The sequence below is a fragment of the Homo sapiens genome, chromosome 6 (assembly GCF_000001405.40).
Source record: "Homo sapiens chromosome 6, GRCh38.p14 Primary Assembly".
Taxonomy (NCBI): domain Eukaryota; kingdom Metazoa; phylum Chordata; class Mammalia; order Primates; family Hominidae; genus Homo; species Homo sapiens.
Genome location: NC_000006.12, coordinates 156819921 through 156837002, shown reverse-complemented (window position 1 = coordinate 156837002; position 17082 = coordinate 156819921). Strand labels below are relative to the sequence as shown.

The window sequence follows — 17082 nt, the reverse complement described above, 5'->3', positions numbered from 1 at the left end:
AGACTGCTGAAATAACAAGACTTTAAAATCTAATGCTGAGGCTGGGTATGGTGGCTCATGCCTGTAATCCTAGCACTTTGGAGGCCAAGGCAAGTGGATCGCTTGAGTCCTGAAGTTCAAAACCAGCCTGGGCTACATGGCAAAACCCTGTCTCTACAAAAATATTAAAAATTAGCTGGGTGTGGTGGCATGTACCTGTAGTCCCAGCTACTCAGGAGGCTGAGGTGAGAGAATCACCTGAGCCCAGGAGGTCAAGGCTGCAGTGAGCCGTGATCGTGCCACTGCACTCCATCCTGGGTGACACAGCAGGACCCCATGTCAAACAAACAAACAAAAATCTAATACTGAAATGAAAAGACATTCACTTAATATTACTTTAAAGGGGAAATCCAAGCTGAGAGGTCTTATAGTCCAACCCCCTCATCTGGCAGAGGAGCACAGTGAGATCCAGATTTTCCCAGTATCACACACAGATTAGACTTTAACAGGCAAGGACTCAACCATCCCAGCTCCTGGTTCTGGGCCCATTTCATTCCTTTGGGTCAGTGGTGAGTTTCTGATTCACCGAGTGGGCCAAGAACCAGCATCACTACCAAGTCTCCAGAAGGTGTGAGCTGCCCCCGCTTGCCCACGTAGCCTCCCTCTAATACCCTGACTCACAGGGCAGTCACGGGAGATTAGGGCCTTCACAGTCAGGTGTCATTGATATGGGCATCCTTGGGCATCCGTGGGGGGATTTTCTTAATGCCCCGGGAGACTCTAACATTCAGCAAAGTTTGAGAACCACTTGTCTAAGATACGTCACTTAATCACTTTAACTTTCCATTTATCTTGTGGGATTTCCGTTGTTGTTCAGTGTTTGTTTTCCAAGGAGCGCTGAAGGGATATGGTTGGTTCATTTTACTGACGTCGACTGTTACCTTTATTTGAATTATTAACGTTTTAACATAAATACCATGCTTAATGTTTCTTTGGTGAAAGCAAATAAATCACACTTATTTAAAATATACTCATTCAGTGCTACCTAAAACACACACTTGTTCGAGACCAACCTGGGCAACATGGTGAGACGTCTCTACAAAAAAATTTAAAAATTAGCTGGGCATGGTGGCACATGTCTGTAGTCCCAACTGCTTGGGAGGCTGAGGTGGGAGGATTGTTTGAGCCCAGGAGGTCAAGGCCGCAGTGAGCCATGTTCATGCCACTGCACTCCAGCCCGGGCAACAGAGCAAGACCTTGTCTCTAAAAAATAAAAATAAAACATACATTTAAGATTTACATCTCAAAAGTAAAATAGAAAACCTTACAGATATTTTAGGTTGAAAGTCTATATGTAAAATACATAGTGGAACTCATGTGTACATGACAAAACAGTATAAACTACCAGCAGAGTACTAGGCGCTATATACTGTATATAAGCTTAGAAAATCGAGAATAATGTAAATGTACAGATAAAAAATAAATGTATCAATATAAACATCCTAATATAAAAGCAGCTTTCCATATTAAAATGAAATCATCTCACATTTTCTCATTAAACTTTCAGGTAAAATCTGATCTTCTCTCACTTTTCGGAAAAAGGCTAAAGATTTAAAAATCTTTATTTAACTTAAAATATGATCTCTTCTAACATATCATTCCAAGAATGTCACAATTCAAATATGTTTAAACCCAAATACAATATAAAAAGTACACAAAACCAGTTAGGTATTATAGGAATTTACAAATCTTTTCAAAAATATTTTCTTTTTTTTTTTTTTTTTGTGACAGAGTCTCCCTCTGTCACCCAGGCTGGAGTGCAGTGGCAAGATCTCGGCTCACTGCAAGCTCCGCCTCCCGGGTTCACACCATACTCCTGCCTCAGCTTCCCGAGGAGCTGGGACTACAGGCGCCCGCCACCACGCCGGCTAATTTTTTTGTATTTTTTTAGTAGAGACAAGGTTTCACTGTGTTAGTCAGGATGGTCTCTATCTATCTCCTGACCTCGTGGTCCGCCCACCTCAGCCTCCCCAAGTGCTGGGATTACAGGCGTGAGCCACCGCGCCCGGCCCAAAAATATTTTCTTAGTACAAAACTCCATCTACAGGGAGCTTTGGCATCACAGCCAGTAGCATCTGCTATCTACTTGGAAGCAGAAATGTGAGGTATAAATGTATTTTGCTGGTAAACCTTAAATACCTTCATGTTCACTGCTGAAGAACAACTGAGGAAACCATGACAAAATGTGGCCAACGAAAGGCCATTATTTATAAAAATCTGCAATCTGCTGAAGGGCCTCCAAACATTTCAGGTGTACAAGCAAATCAGCTCGGCTCCAAGTCTCAGTACAGAACACGAATGTATGAAAATGCTGTAAACAACATAGTGAAATTTCATAGCATTTCATTATTTTACTGGCCAAAATGTTCACCTTCATTTCATTTGTGTGTTTATATATGTATATCTACAAATATGTTTAACATATAAATTAATATACATATACACGTTTCATTACACAAGAATGCCATTGTCACATGAATGTTCTGTTTTTTACACACATGTGGGAGCGTACATGTGCACACAGATATGAATGGGCATCTTTAAGTAAATATAGAGACTCAAAAAATTAAGAGTCTGAATGTAAAACAGGCACCAGGCACCCATTCCTCTCCATTATACTTAGTCAAGTTATCTATCCTTTCTCATCCTGGACACACCATCACAGTCGCAAACATAGGAAGTCTAGGCTCTTTTTTAAATAAAACAAAAATTAAGCCCTGACTATTGGATTCATATTTAGGATTCAAAGATTGAATCATAATAAACATTTCATGATGAAAAACTCTGGAATTTTTAAGTCTTAAACCAGTCTTCCTCTCCCCATTCATCCTTACTTTTCAGAGCTCTCATGCAAACTATATCAAAACGTGGCTTTAATTACATTTAAAAGAAACACATTTTTTTCCAGAATAGATCAACAATATAAATTAACACAGGTGGAAACCCTAGAAATTGCCTGGCTGCCTTAATAACCCCAAAGGAAACATTTATTTTAGCCAAACAATTGTAATGTTTGTCTCCTTTTTAGAAACATCTGCTGCCAAAATAAACATTTGCATTGGAAGAAGTGTTTTGGCTGTTAAGAGGGTACCAAATAAAATGCTTATGTTCTGAAATAAATATTTTACTCAAAAAACATGCAGCAAAATTAGAATACAAATCTTTTTCAAGCCCTCTTCAAGGAAACCTGTTTTGAATTGTTTTTACTTCAATATGAAGTAATAAGTTCAGATGAATCACCTTAACAAAAATAATTAGTTTATATTTAATTTTGCCATTTTCTATTTCAAAACAATGATCATATTCTATGTTCCTGCTATAAAGTTCTTCGCAATACATGTATGCCTTTAAAAACTAAAAAAGTCATGTTTTCCCATCATAAAAGCACTCATGAACTTCAATCTCTCATTTTGCTTTTTTTCCTTTTGCCCTGTTTTATAATTCCAACAGGCATCATATTATCAAACACCTGCAAGAATAGTTAAAATATCAACCCAATTACAAAAAAAAACTCAGGAAAAATCTCAGTCTACATAATTGAAATCTGCTTGACACAAATAAATAACTCAGCTTCTGTAAGCTATTTCTCCTGGGTGCCGTTTTATATTAAAATCTTATTTAAAACAAGTTGGTAAAGGCCTAGGTGTACATTTATGATCACGAAGGATAAGAAAAATGAAACAAAACCTGCATTCCTGATCCAGCAAAGAATATCTTGGTGTCTTTAAGGTTTGTTTTTTTTTTAATCTGAAAAACTCAGAGTCAGATTCTAGTAACCTTAAAAATTATGCCTCTTCTGTGTAGCTGTCTAATAGATGAAATCAACCAATGTACTTCTGTTAACCAACCCCATGTCTGAATTCCAGAAGCCTGGAGGCAGAATATTCTCCACAGAGGCATAGAAAATTCATTTCCCCCCTGAACTCAACAAAAACCCAAGTAGACTAGTTTTTAGGGCACCGTGCAAAACTAATCTGTTTAGCCATGTATTTGCCTGATGATGTGGGAGAACTGGCAAGTGAAAGACCACAAATCTAGTTCCAGTTAATAAAGACTAAAATGATGTACTATTATCACGTCATGCTTCAAAGATCCAGTCACGAGTATATCTCAAAAACAAAATTATCACCATACAAATCAAAGATCACCAGGGTAATACTAAAATCAAACACAGTCAGTGGCCAGTTCCTTCAGACTCTCAGAGACAAAAAATAAACAGTGATACTCCTCTCCATGTTAAATTTCACATCAGCACTGCAGTTCTTTCTAACAAAATACTCATTTAAAATTCATATCACAGGAGCAGAACGCCAGCCAGGAATCAAACTGTGACCCCTGAGCCAAAGACAACTTACCACTCAGCTGGTAAGTGGGCAACTCAATTTACAAACTTGAATTCCTGCATTTTAATCCTGTGCAGAAATATACGAGCAATATTAAATGAACTGGATTCAGCTCATTAGAGGTTCACAAACCAAACACAGAACGTTCTGGAAGCCATCCAAAGCAAAGTCATGCCTAGGTGGTGATGTCCACTCAATAAATACTCAATGTCATAATTATCTTTCAACTTTTTCCCTGAAGAACATTATTAGCCACAACTACAACAATGCTTAGCCAATTACATTAATCCTAGGGGAAGATGGATGGGACCAGCAGCCAATCACAGTGCCAGGACCCTGTTTGTGAACAAATTTATAATTATCCAAAATGCAGAAACAAAGCAATTCACTGAAAATTCCTCCCCAAAGAACACAGACTCAAGCTAACAAAATGAATGTATATGCTCTAATAACCTTTGCTCTAAATCTTCACTATTTTTTTCCATTTCAAAAATTAAGAACTGTTCACATGACCTTGGTATTATAAAAGCTGTATGTCTTCTTTAAAATGTTATACACATTCAAAAGTGCATTCTGTTATTTTTAGCCTTTTAAATTTTAAAACAAGATACTATATTTCAAAGCTGTATTTAACTAAATGAAAAGGTAAAAAGGCAATACAGATTATTTAGACCCATGACTTTGATTAACTCATTATGAAAGTTTCCACACTTCTGCAGCCAGGATATTCAATTTCTTACCAGATATACTATTTTCCTTTCATTATCAGAAAGATCTGTGCTTAATTAGAATTGGGTATTTCTTTTGGTTAGCAGTAAAATATCCAATCTAAAATCTTAATTAAAAATTTGCTGAAATACTTGATGGGCAACCTACATCAATTTGTCCCTTCAAATAAATCTAAGAGTCATTGGATTTAAAAAGTGTATAAGAGTCACAGGGATTAAATAAATGGAAGAAGCTAAGAAAATTGAGATTACTCTATATATCTGTGTATGTCCTCTACTTTTAGCTTTACACATTTAGAAAAGAAAATAATTAAAAACATTTCCTAGGTAATCATTCTTCACACACCCTCTCCATTTGTTTGACTCCCACTTTGGGACTGGAAACTAAGCCAACATCTAGAACTTCTAGTGAGACTTAACTCCTTCAGAGACCAGGGAGATCCGGCTGCTTGCCGTGAACAGCATCTTTTGAAACTGACTTTTTAATCTCACATCAGGGAAACATGCTGAAAAGCAAAGTGGGGAGCCCAAGAGCAGCGAGCATCCACTTCTCTCTGCCGGTCCCACTACTTCTTACTACCTTCCCACCTCTGCTCTCTTCCTGTGGCCAAAGCACCATCCACAACTATTAGCTCCCACATAAAATCAGCAACAGAGTGCGATGGGGACTTGAGCAGCCAGCTGCCTGGGCTGTCTTCCTCTCAACTAATGGTGAAGCTGCTCTAAAACTAAAATGAAGGAGAGAAAATCGCAACTCTTCCACCTTACTTTTCATCATTTACAAATTATTTCCTTCTCACAATTAGCAGCCACAACTAAAGATTTCTACTCTAGGCAGCAAAATATTGCTGGAAAAAAAGGAATAATGTGGAAAAAATTAAAAGTACAATTAAGTATGCAACTGACTGCTAGAATTCGGAGTGGGTAACCTTCAATAATTGAGAAGTGAGGTCTCTGACAACAGCAAAGGGTGTTCAATCTGCAACTAGGATTCAAAGGCTGAGCTACCTCTATCTTCCCCAATAATGGCCTTAACATAAACAAAATCATCCAAGTGGGAGCAAAGATAAAGAGGAAAGACAACATTTTATTTCTTATTTTATAAATAAAAGACTTATTTTATTTCTTTTTTTTTTAGGGTCTCGATACATTGCCTAGGCTGGACTCAAACTCCTGGGCTCAAGCGATCCTCCCACTTCAGCCTCCCGAATAGCTGGAAATACAGGAGGGTGCCACCATGCCATGCTACTATAACATAGACTTACACAATATTATAATTAAAATAAACTTCAATAATAAATTAATAACAATAATAATGAAACAAATAATAAATCACAATACAGATCGAATAGTGTATAAACGAGAAGGCTCAGAAGCAACCTACTGATGAACTGTTAATATACAGCTATGTATCATGTAAAGTATGATCAATCATTCTCCATATCCACATCAGAGAGAACAGTAGTCATATCTAATTTTTGCCCCTCAACGAAAGATGTCTGGTCAGATGGAAGCATTTCCTGAGACAGCACTGTCAAGCCCTGTTGTGGGTTACCGACGGCCGCACCATGGGACGCCCCAGCCTGGGGCAGTAAAACGTGCAGCAGCATCAGCCTGACCCACTCCCTGGCGGCTTAGGTACGGTATGGCGATTTATAAATAAGCCTTTCTGGTGCTCCTAGTAACTAAATACCCTAACAAGTTTGAATCTAATTTAGTCTTTTCCAAATTTCATCCTCCCTCCAGCCAGCATAAAGGGGTATTCTTTCAAGTATCCAAAAGACTAGGTTTACCACTGCTAGAGGGTAAATGGTCATCTAAGGTGACTCCATTTGATTCCAGAGAAAAAAAAGGAAAATGTTGGGTCTCTTAAGAACAGGAAAAGTCTTTTTTAAGTAAAAACACAAAACCCATCAAGACCTAACAAAACAGATGCACATCAAATCCTCTTATATGAAATACAGAAACCTTTTTCAAAAGGTACAGAAGAAATAATTTAAGAAATGAAAGCAAAATAACTTTGGGAGACTAAACTTTTTTTTTTTCAATTTTAAAAACTTGATGCCATCCTCATGGAAAAGACCTTTAAATGACTTGAAAATTCACCTTAAGATGGTCTATTCACAGCTCAAAATCTGACACAGTCTGACAAAAATGTTGGAATGCCAAGTTCACTTCAGAGCTTACATCTGTTATAACCTGCTGCAAATTTATGACACAGTGCACCTATCAAATACAGCTGGTCCTGCTGCCCTTCTACCAAACAGGTATTCTGTCCACTTTAAGAAGCTCACCTTTCCATCTTTAAAAGAAAAAAAAAATTATACCTGTGATTAAAGAAACAATAAAAATTAAAGCAGAAAATCCGTGCAATGCCCCCTAATTCTCTTTAACATCAATCTTAGGTGGACAGCAAAAGGCAAAGACAAAACTATTACAAAAAAGCAGCGGGTCGGGGGACCAGCACAAACCTGCTGCTGAGGGTACTGCATTCCGGCCATGGCCCCGGGAGTCCGACCCTGGATGCCAATTGGATACCGCTGTGGGCCTGGAGGGCCATAGGAACCTCCTGGGTACGGACTGCTCTGCTGAGGCTGAGAATGAGGGTTACTGCCCATGCCATACAACTGAGGTCTCTTCATCACCATTGGATCCATTGGGCTGCCCTGTGAAGACATAAAAGAAGTCGGTTTATTAATTCATTCTTTATTACAAAGGCACAAATTTGTGTTATGTCAACATATGCATTAATAACACAACTATCCTTAAGTTTTAAAAATATTAAAAACAATGACCTGACAAAACATCCAGCAAGACATTAAAGAAAAAACCTAGATGGATACAAGAAATTTTATTTTTTACTTTTAGGAGTTTTTAACAACTAAGAGAGCTCTAGACTAAACAAAACTAAAAACGATTTTGGACCATAAGCAGAGAGAAAACATTTGCATCTAAAATTCTATTATGCGTACAGGAAAAGAGCATGATAGTTAAGCTCACCCACCTCCTTTTAGCTTACTAGTAATAAGAGCAGAGGGTATTGAGTGATTAACATTTTCTGCCTTCAAAGTATTCTTAGAACAATGATTTTATTTTAGAACTGAGTCTGCAAGTCTTGATCAAACCTTAGTGCAACCGAGTGTTCATTAAAAAGTGAAAAGATAGATTTTAGATCATGCATATGTCCAGGGTAAAGATTTTGTTCAGAGACCAGCAGTGTGTAGGGATGAGCACTCAGACTATGAGTCACAGCACCTCTCCCCATGTAAGTCAGCATCTTACCAAACACAACCAGTTCACAAGTAGATGTTGAATTTTATTTTTGGTTTGGTGAGTCAGGCCCTGGGCTTCAGGGCCGAGGTCATACAGGAGGGCTAGGCGTGGAGCCTCAGCCCTTCATGTCCTGGGACGTCAAAGGAACAAAGCAATAGGTAGAAAGGCCCTCACCCGGTGCTACAGTAGCAGGCAGCATTCACCCAGCAGCTCCTTCCTTCCCTCCTCTGTCCTTCCAAAACCACATACTGATCCCAACTGTGTGCCAGATGCTGCGTTCACACTGAGGTAAGTACATGGGGACTTTCAGGAAGGCTTAAGAATTAGCAGGGTAAATTCAAGACCATCCTGGCAACATCACAAGACCCTGTCTCTACAACAAATTAAAAACTTAGCCAGGCGTGGTGGCAGGCACCTATAGTCCGAGCTGTTCAGGCTAAGGCAAGAAGATCACTTGACCCCAGGAGTTCGAGGCTGCAGTGAGCTATGATCACACCACTCCACTCCAGTCTGGGTAACACAGTGGGACCCTGTCTCTTGAAAAAAAAAAAAAAAAAGAGGCCGGGCATGGTGACTCATGCCTGTAATCCCAGCACTTTGGGAGGCCAAGACGGGCAGATCAGTTGAGGTCAGGAATTTGAGACCAGCCTGACCAACATGGTGAAACCCCGTCTCTACTAAAAATACAAAAATCAGCTGGGCATGGTAGTGCACGCCTATAATCCCAGCTACTCCGGAGGCTGAGGCAGGAGAATCGCTTGAACCCAGGAGGCGGAGGCTGCAGTGAGCCAAGATTGTGCCACTCCAGCCTGAGAGACAGAGCTAGACTCCATCTCAAAAAAAAAAAAAAAAAAAAAAAAAAAAAGAATTACCAGGATAAAGGGGAATAACACGTCCAAGGTGGGAGGGAACAGCATGTACAGTACCACAGGGCAGAAGAAACAGCACAAGGCACTGGGTCAAGGGAGATGAACTGCCTGGTGTGTATCAGGAAATAAAAACCATCTGGATCCACGTGAAGCACGAATTTACGAAGATGCTGAAGCAGGCAGAAGCCAGAACATGGGTGAGCCCTGCAGGGCATTCTACAGGCTCAGGCTGCCTCTGACAGATGAACACAGGACTGCTCCCTTGGGCACCTGACCCAGCTGGAAGCAGGTCAGGTTGCCCTGGCAGGCAGGTGAGGCTGAGGTCCTGAACTGGCAGCAGTGGTGGGAGGAAGCAAGCCCAGCTCCAAGGCACAGTTAGAAGGGAAATGCGGCAGGATTTGGAGACCAAATGAGTGATGGAAGCCAGCAGCCAAATGAGATGGAGTGTGCAGAGGGAGAAGCCAATCACCATATCCCCAGGAGTGGGAGCCTTCAGTGGTTTACATAGGAAACTTGAGGCTCTGATATGAAATCCAGGTGAAAATGCCCAGAAGGAAGAGACATAATGAGCTGCAGCTTGGGGAGTAAGGCCTGACCTGGAAAAATAGGTAGAGAAGTCAGCAGAGAGGACATCCACTCCCAGAGGGCAGGGATTTTCTCTATTTTATTCACTATTATATCTCCAGGGCATAAGTTGAACAGTGTACCCAGCACATTAATTGATGAATTAATCAATAGGAAGCAATAAAACCCATGAACTTTATTTAGGAGGAATATATGAAAGGAAAACAATGGGTAGCGAACAGAATCCTAGAGAATATCACCGCTTAAGGGAAAAGGGAAAATGAACCCACAGACAAGCTGGAAGAATGGCCAGAAAATGTAGACACTCTGGAGAGTGTGCTCTTACAGGAGGGAAGGGAGTCAGGTGTAGCAACGAAACAGGTGTGCCAAATGCAGCCCAGGAATGCAGTCAGGTGAAGGGTAAAGGCTTCTGCTATACTTGACAAGGAGGCCACTGCTGTGCTCGGCAAGGACAGTCTCGCTGCAGAGGTGAGGGCTGAGGCTGGAAGAGGAGGGACGGAGGGGAGGTGAAGATGGAAGGCAGGAGCACAGACCCCGAGAACTGCCAGTCCTCTCTTCCACTGGCACTCCCACTCCAAGGCTGCACGGGTCCTTCCCCTTCTCTGCCTTCCTCAATACTCTGGTGTTCACTTTAAAGATTTGGTGAATCCATTCACCACACATTTACTAAGCACCTACTATGTGCGTTGTGCCCAACACTGGAAGCAGAAGGATGAACGAGCCTCCATGTCCTGGAGATTCACTGAAGGAGACAGACTAAACAGGTCACAGTGCAACACAGCAGATGTCCTGAAGGGACAAAGCACCAAGGCAAGGTGAGAAGAGGGTGTCTCACTGGGTCTGCCATGGGCTTTAACAAAGGCTTCCTATAGGAAATACCTGAGCTCAGTCCCAAGGGATCCACAGGACTGTGCCAGGAGGAACCCATCTCACCTGAATGAAGCTCTGTGGAGGACACAGGAGGAAAGAGGGTGCTTTGCCCCAGGCCCCACAGCCTACAAGCAACTTTTCTGCTCAAAATTCACCATGTGATACAATTTTAAACTGTTACTACTTTCACCAGCCAAGACATTGTTTGGACTTAACATGATAGAAATTAAACGACAGTACATTTGTTTGCCCAAACAATATACTGATTTTACATAACCTGAGCCGCCTTCATAATTAAGTGTACAAACATGTATGTTGATATATTTGTAGTAAAACTAAAATCTAGGGCTAAGAATTCATTTTCTCATAATTATTTAAATTAGAATTTATGCCTGATAAAAATAAAATGTGATTATTTTCTAGATTTTCTTGAAAAAGGTAAAACTTTTTATGGAAGTATGAAAATCAAGGCTGAGTTGGTGATTTCAAAATCAGCCAAGTGAATGAAGGACCTATGGAGAGGCTGAGTAAATCAAATTTCAGGCTGAATTTCCAATACGGGGCCCTGAGGCAGTCCTATCTTCACATTCAATCTAGACAGCCCAGGGCACAGGAAACGTCTACTTATTTCACTTCAAATAGTGCACGACCAAAACTGCCTTAATTAAAGCAGAAATGTTAAATGGGAAAATGATTGGAATGTCTATGTTTTAATGCTATAGATAACAGTGCAGCAAATTCATCTTATCAGTGACTAAAATTGTTTTGTATTATCTGTCTCATCACTGCCATCAACTCTCACAGTCCTACTTAAAATTCAGTTAATTTGCACCATGTCAAAAATGTTAGCTTAACCCTCAGATTTCTGAAAATCGAAAGCATTAAATACACAGATTATCTGAACCTCTCAAAATGCATCAAATATCTTTCAATGAGACTTCAGATAGAAAAACAGTTACTCATACAGTGCAAATTATTTAATTTTAACTTCTCCTTATGGTCTATTATTAAATATTCATCCACAGTCCAAATCCATCCTGCTGTGTCCTCTATTTTTGAGCATTAAAAATGTACAACTGAGGGTCTCAACTCCTGCTTCTCACTACCAGTCCCTTAAAGAAACTAAAAATTGGCCAAGTGCGGCGGCTCACGCCTGTAATCCCAGCACTTCGGGAGGCTGAGGCAGGTGGATTGCCTGAGCTCAGGAGTTCAAGACCAGCCTGAGCAACACGGTGAAATCCTGTCTCCACTAAAATACAAAAAATTAGCCAGGCATGGTGGCGGGCACCTGTAATCCCAGCTACTCAGAAGGCTGAGGCAGGAGAACTGCTTGAACCTGTGAGGCAGAGGTTGCAGTGAGCCAAGATCGTGCCACTGCACACTCCACCCTGGGTGACAGAGCAAGACTCCATCTCAAAGAAAAAAAAAAAAATCAAATCTAAGACTTCTGGAAAACAAAAGGGCCAAGCTGCTTCTCATACGCACATCTAACCTGAAGCAATTTTATGTTTTTTGTTTTGTTTTGTTTTCTGAGACAGGGTCTCGCTCTGTCACCCAGACTGGAGTGCAGTGGCACAATCTCAGCTCACTGCAACCTCCACCTCCCGGGTTCAAGTGATTCTCATGTCTCAGCCTCCCAAGTAGCTGGGATTACAGGCACATACCACCACACCCAGCTTATTTTTGTATTTTTTGTAGAGACAGGATTTTGCCTTGTTGGCAAGGCTGGTCTCGAACTCCTGACCTCAAGTGATTCGCCTGCCTCGACCTCCCAAAGTGCTGGGATTACAGGCGTGAGCCGCTGCGCCTGGCCAATTTTATGTTTTTTTAACATCTATCCGGGTATGACCATTTTCATTTCTCACTGAAAGTTTATGCTCTATCAGGGTTATCATCCACATCGAAAACAGCCCTCAACAACTTCTCTAAATAGATTGTCCGAGCATGTTTTCATTTCTAGATGGCATTCCACAACTGCTGTAGCTTGAGTTTCAATTCCAGAAAATAAGACAAGTGCTGTGAAGGCCACAATATATACACCACCATTTTCAAAGAGCTCTTAACCTAACCAGTCTGGTTTTAGTTACTTGGCTTTTAATGCAATTTTTTTACTTGATAAGACTTTCCTCCTCCTTATTCAAAGTAAACTTTTGGATGTACATGTAAGTAGGAGTTATTCTCTCTCTCTCTAAGGAAGAAATACATTGTCTATTTTTAAGAAATGTTTGTATATAGATTCTTCTAAGCATATTGGGTAGCACAATTCAGCTATATTACATGTCAGATAGGCTTTCAGAGGCTGGGCTGGGAATCCAACTGTCCTTTTCAAGATGATCCAAGTTAAAGGACAACTTGCTTATATACTTTTAGTATACTTTAAATATACTTTATCCTTTTTATATTTAGATACTCTGTTATCAGGCTTTCAGAGTATCCCTACACATGCATTTATAGTAAAAGATATCTAATTGTATTTGCTCCTAAATATCAAATTAAGAACACAGTTTATTAGATACATCTTTATGCATATCATATTTTACTACTTTTTTCAGCCCAATTCCTTCAACCGCAAATTGGAAAAACACTTCACAAAAAAAAAAAAAAAAACAACAAAGAAAACCCACCGAAAGAACTATCGAATCTTGTTGATCTAAAATCATTTCTACACATGTGGATTAAACAAGAGCTGATAGAAAACTCTTCCCTCTTTTGAACCATTGTTCGGGAAACAACATTCTCTTACCAGTAACTAAAGAAAACTTTTGAAATCTGTTCTATTTCTCTCGCTCAAACAGGGCAGGGGGTGTTTATTCACGTCTGCAGCTGTGTACCGAATGGCACTGCCCAGCAAGGAAGTAGGGGCTCTGGATTCAGAATGGATTCACAGCCCTGTCCCACCAGGGACCTCGAGTACACTGTGACCTTATTTCTTAGTTTTCTCATTCACTAAAGGAGAAATAAAACCCACCTTGCAATTATTATGAACATTAAATTCATCAGCGCTATAAAGGCTCTCAGAGGTCACAGGGGCTATGGCAGCACCTGGAGCCCAGGGCCCACCTACTCATTGAGAAAAAATGGAACAGCCCAACTGTGCAAAAGTAAAGAATCCATGGCCCGGCCGTAACACACCAACACAGCGGACTACACACGGGCATAGAGAAGACATGTCAGGTAACGTGCCATTTCTTCAATACTGATGCACACAGATCACAGCCATGTGAAACAAGCTCGATAAGGATCGGGGTCAGCCACAGTGGCCTGTAGATAGTTGCTGTCATATCGGGAAGCAATCTGTGTTTACTTTTCTGTGATGGTGTCTAAATATAGCTCAAAATGCCTCTGTTTTTCCCTGAGCATATTACAAACAGTACTCTGGCTCTCTGTAAAGGGAGAACAGGAGGTGGATGCAACACGGCCGTCTAGCCTGTCTTCCTCCCTCGCACACCCGCCTGGTCACGGCACACACAGAACAGTGGGCAGTGGGCGCCCACTCCACCTCACCACAGAGGTTCCCCACCACATGCCAGTGGCACCACCCAGAAGCCACTGTGGGACACACTTCAGAGCTGCTGTACACACCTGCAGAAGACACAAGTAAAGACAATGATAATACTGAATGCATACTCTGGTCAGGTTCTTCTCCTAACGGCATAAAAACCCGTTTACGGCAAAAGTAAAAGTGGGCACTAAAGACTCTTCCCTTGTTTCATAACAAGTGCCTACTCCTCTCTAAGCCAGAAAGAACCAAGAATCTCAGCTACCACTGCCACCACTACTGCAGAATGTAATCGCCAAAGAGATTCTCTCATGCCCAATGACACAAAGGAGGCTCACGGTAGCAGAGCTCAGACCAGAGTCAAGTCTCCCAACTCGGGTCCACAGTCCCATCTCTGGTCTGGTGTGTCTATACACGATCATCAGACTGAAGGAGGATAACATGCAACCCTGCATTTAAAACCACTATGTGTTTTACTTCAACTCACAACAAAACACTGCCTGCTTATTAAGACTTGAACTAACACGTTGGAACTTCGAATGTGGGTATCAACACACAGAAGTTCTTCTTTTGTCAATACAGGAATATTTGTCACATTTTCCAATGGTACAGAAAGGATCAAGAAATGGGATTCTAAGATATTAGACAAGACTGGCCACACATGGTAGCTCACACCTGTAATCTCAGCACTTTGGGAGGCTGAGGCGGGCAGATCACTTGAGGTCAGGAGTTCAAGATCAGCCTGGCCAACATGGTGAAACCCCTTCTCTACTGAAAAAAAAAAAAGATATTAGACAAGGCAGAAAAGGTTGTTTTGTTACTAACTCTAAGAACCATGAAATTATCGGTGCCCTCTAACCATGACATCATTAGCAATGTTGGGGGAGAGACCTCAAAACACTCCTAACTGACTGAGAAAGATGACCACTGCCTGTGTTTTTGGTCTTGGTTTTGGTTTTCTTAAGCAAGGTGCAGAGAACATATGTATTTGTGGAACCATGGAACCCTCAATTTAGCATACAGTGTCAGAGGAGTTCATGGAATCTAATCTAGAAACCCATCCAAAGATCCCAGACTTACATTATCAAATAATAACAACATATGCCATGCATTTCCAAAGCACTTTAATATATTCTCACGTTATCACAATTCTTAAGACAGCCTGACCAAAGATTCAAAGATTCAGCAATGAAACTCAGAACCTTAGAACTGCAGAGAGCCTGACGGGTCCGTAAGTGATGTACATACAAATCCTTTCAAAGCATCTACAATGAATGTTATGAATTTCTTCCTCCTATGTAACAAAAGTCTGCTCCCTGTCATTTATACCCATTGGTATTACTTTGGTCCTTTGGCAGAATATTTGAAGATCGCTGTAAGCTATTTCTCTTTTCTGCGTGACATATACCCATTCTCAGCCCCCTCAACACAAAAGGTATTGTGGGGGGAGTGGGGGAGCAGTTCTTGCTTCCTTTTTCTAGAACCTGCACTGCTGACAACACAGTCTAAGAGCTCTGCGCTCTTGGCAGCCCCATCCCCACCAACAGCTGACTAAACCCCACCTCCCCATCTCCTATCAGACACTTGGGGAGTTGACCCTAGTAGAAGAAGTTGGTCTTTATCTCCGCTTGTTTGCATTTCGCTTATTTCTGATCACCATTCTACCAGGATGAGGTTGTTTTTCAAATCTTGATTTGGATCTGACATATTACAGTAACTGCATTTTCTAGCTTGACATCAACCATCAATGAAATCAGCATACTATTTCACCCAAGTCTTCATCAATGAAAACACTGAAGAGGTGCGAGGGGAGACAGAGCCTTGGACTCACTACCAAATCTATTCATAAAGACTGGTATTTAAATCCAAGCATCAGCGTTCTGGAAGCAGATCCGTACAGAAACCTTTCCACTGGTTCCCAGGAAACCTCCCATTCCTTCACTACTCTTGCTATGCAAGTACAATACCATATTTGCCTTTAGGTGACCACCTCTTGACCACTTCAAATTCCTACATCTTTTCTAATATATAAAATAAATCCAAAGTTTAGAAACATAATTTGGGGAAAAGGTTATAACGGAGCAGGCAGGGGGTTTCAAGTCAGACAAACCTGGGTGAGAATCCTGCCTGTGCTGCTTATTAGCTAGGTAAGCTTAAGCTATTCAACAGAATACGGTCACACTCACCTCGCAGTGTTGCTGGTGGATTAAATGAGATACCACAGGATTTATCACATAAAAAGAACTTCCTAAATCTCTTTTATTTTACTCTTAACAAATTAGCAAATTGAAGGCAGAGCTAAACCACTCAATAATTTAATCTACATATTTTCCTGTCTCCCCAGCAGACTGTTAATTTCAAGGTGAAAATTTTGTCTTATTCATCTTTGCATACCTAGCACTTAGTACAATGCCTGGCATAATTAACATTTGTTGACATGAGAAAGGAACAGCTTCCTCAATACCACATGGCCACTTAAACAGCAGGACTCTAACTAGAATGTAGGCCTCTTGATGACCACTAGATAAAAGAGGTAAAGACCCTTCTAGTCTCCCCTCCCTGCAGACAAAGCTTCACTTTGCACAAGTTCACCCAGACCATGGCTTCCATCACCTCCCCAAGCTTCTGTCTCCCAAATGCTGCTTCCCTTGGCTGCTTCCTCCAAGCCCCAGAACTCTGCACAGCATTCCTGCCCAGACATCCACAGGCTCCTCTCCGCCTCTCTCTGACCTCAGAGAAAGACACCCCATCCACCCAGATATTCATGTCAGAATCCAGGACACATCCTGACCCTTCCTCTCCTCTCCACCACAGCCAGCTCCTTACCAAGTCAATCTGTGGGACCCCCCATCTCTGCCAGCAGGAAATCTCCCCTC

At 41.1% G+C, this 17082-nt stretch overlaps 1 protein-coding gene across 36 annotated transcripts in view, besides 3 other annotated features; it reads right to left on the bottom strand.

Moving 5' to 3' along the window:
• Positions 1 to 17082, bottom strand: part of ARID1B (AT-rich interaction domain 1B) — a 434754-nt gene that overhangs the window by 373777 nt on the left and 43895 nt on the right. For all 36 annotated transcript variants that reach the window (NM_001371656.1, XM_011535984.3, XM_017011105.3 and 33 more), the window contains one exon: positions 7582 to 7776. In NM_001371656.1, the coding sequence (NP_001358585.1) occupies positions 7582 to 7776 (195 nt within the window). The remainder of the gene's footprint in view (positions 1 to 7581; positions 7777 to 17082) is intronic.
• Positions 6180 to 7147: an enhancer, noted in NCBI's record as "H3K4me1 hESC enhancer chr6:157150990-157151957 (GRCh37/hg19 assembly coordinates)". NCBI's record gives its function as "activates a minimal SCP1, AML or CMV promoter by ChIP-STARR-seq in naive H9 embryonic stem cells {active_cell/tissue: H9 hESC(naive)}" and the evidence as "EXISTENCE:reporter gene assay evidence [ECO:0000049][PMID:30033119]".
• Positions 15052 to 15121: a silencer, noted in NCBI's record as "silent region_17716". NCBI's record gives its function as "represses an Ori minimal core promoter by ATAC-STARR-seq in GM12878 lymphoblastoid cells {active_cell/tissue: GM12878}" and the evidence as "EXISTENCE:reporter gene assay evidence [ECO:0000049][PMID:35858748]".
• Positions 16365 to 16992: an enhancer, noted in NCBI's record as "OCT4-NANOG-H3K4me1 hESC enhancer chr6:157141145-157141772 (GRCh37/hg19 assembly coordinates)". NCBI's record gives its function as "activates a minimal SCP1, AML or CMV promoter by ChIP-STARR-seq in naive H9 embryonic stem cells {active_cell/tissue: H9 hESC(naive)}" and the evidence as "EXISTENCE:reporter gene assay evidence [ECO:0000049][PMID:30033119]".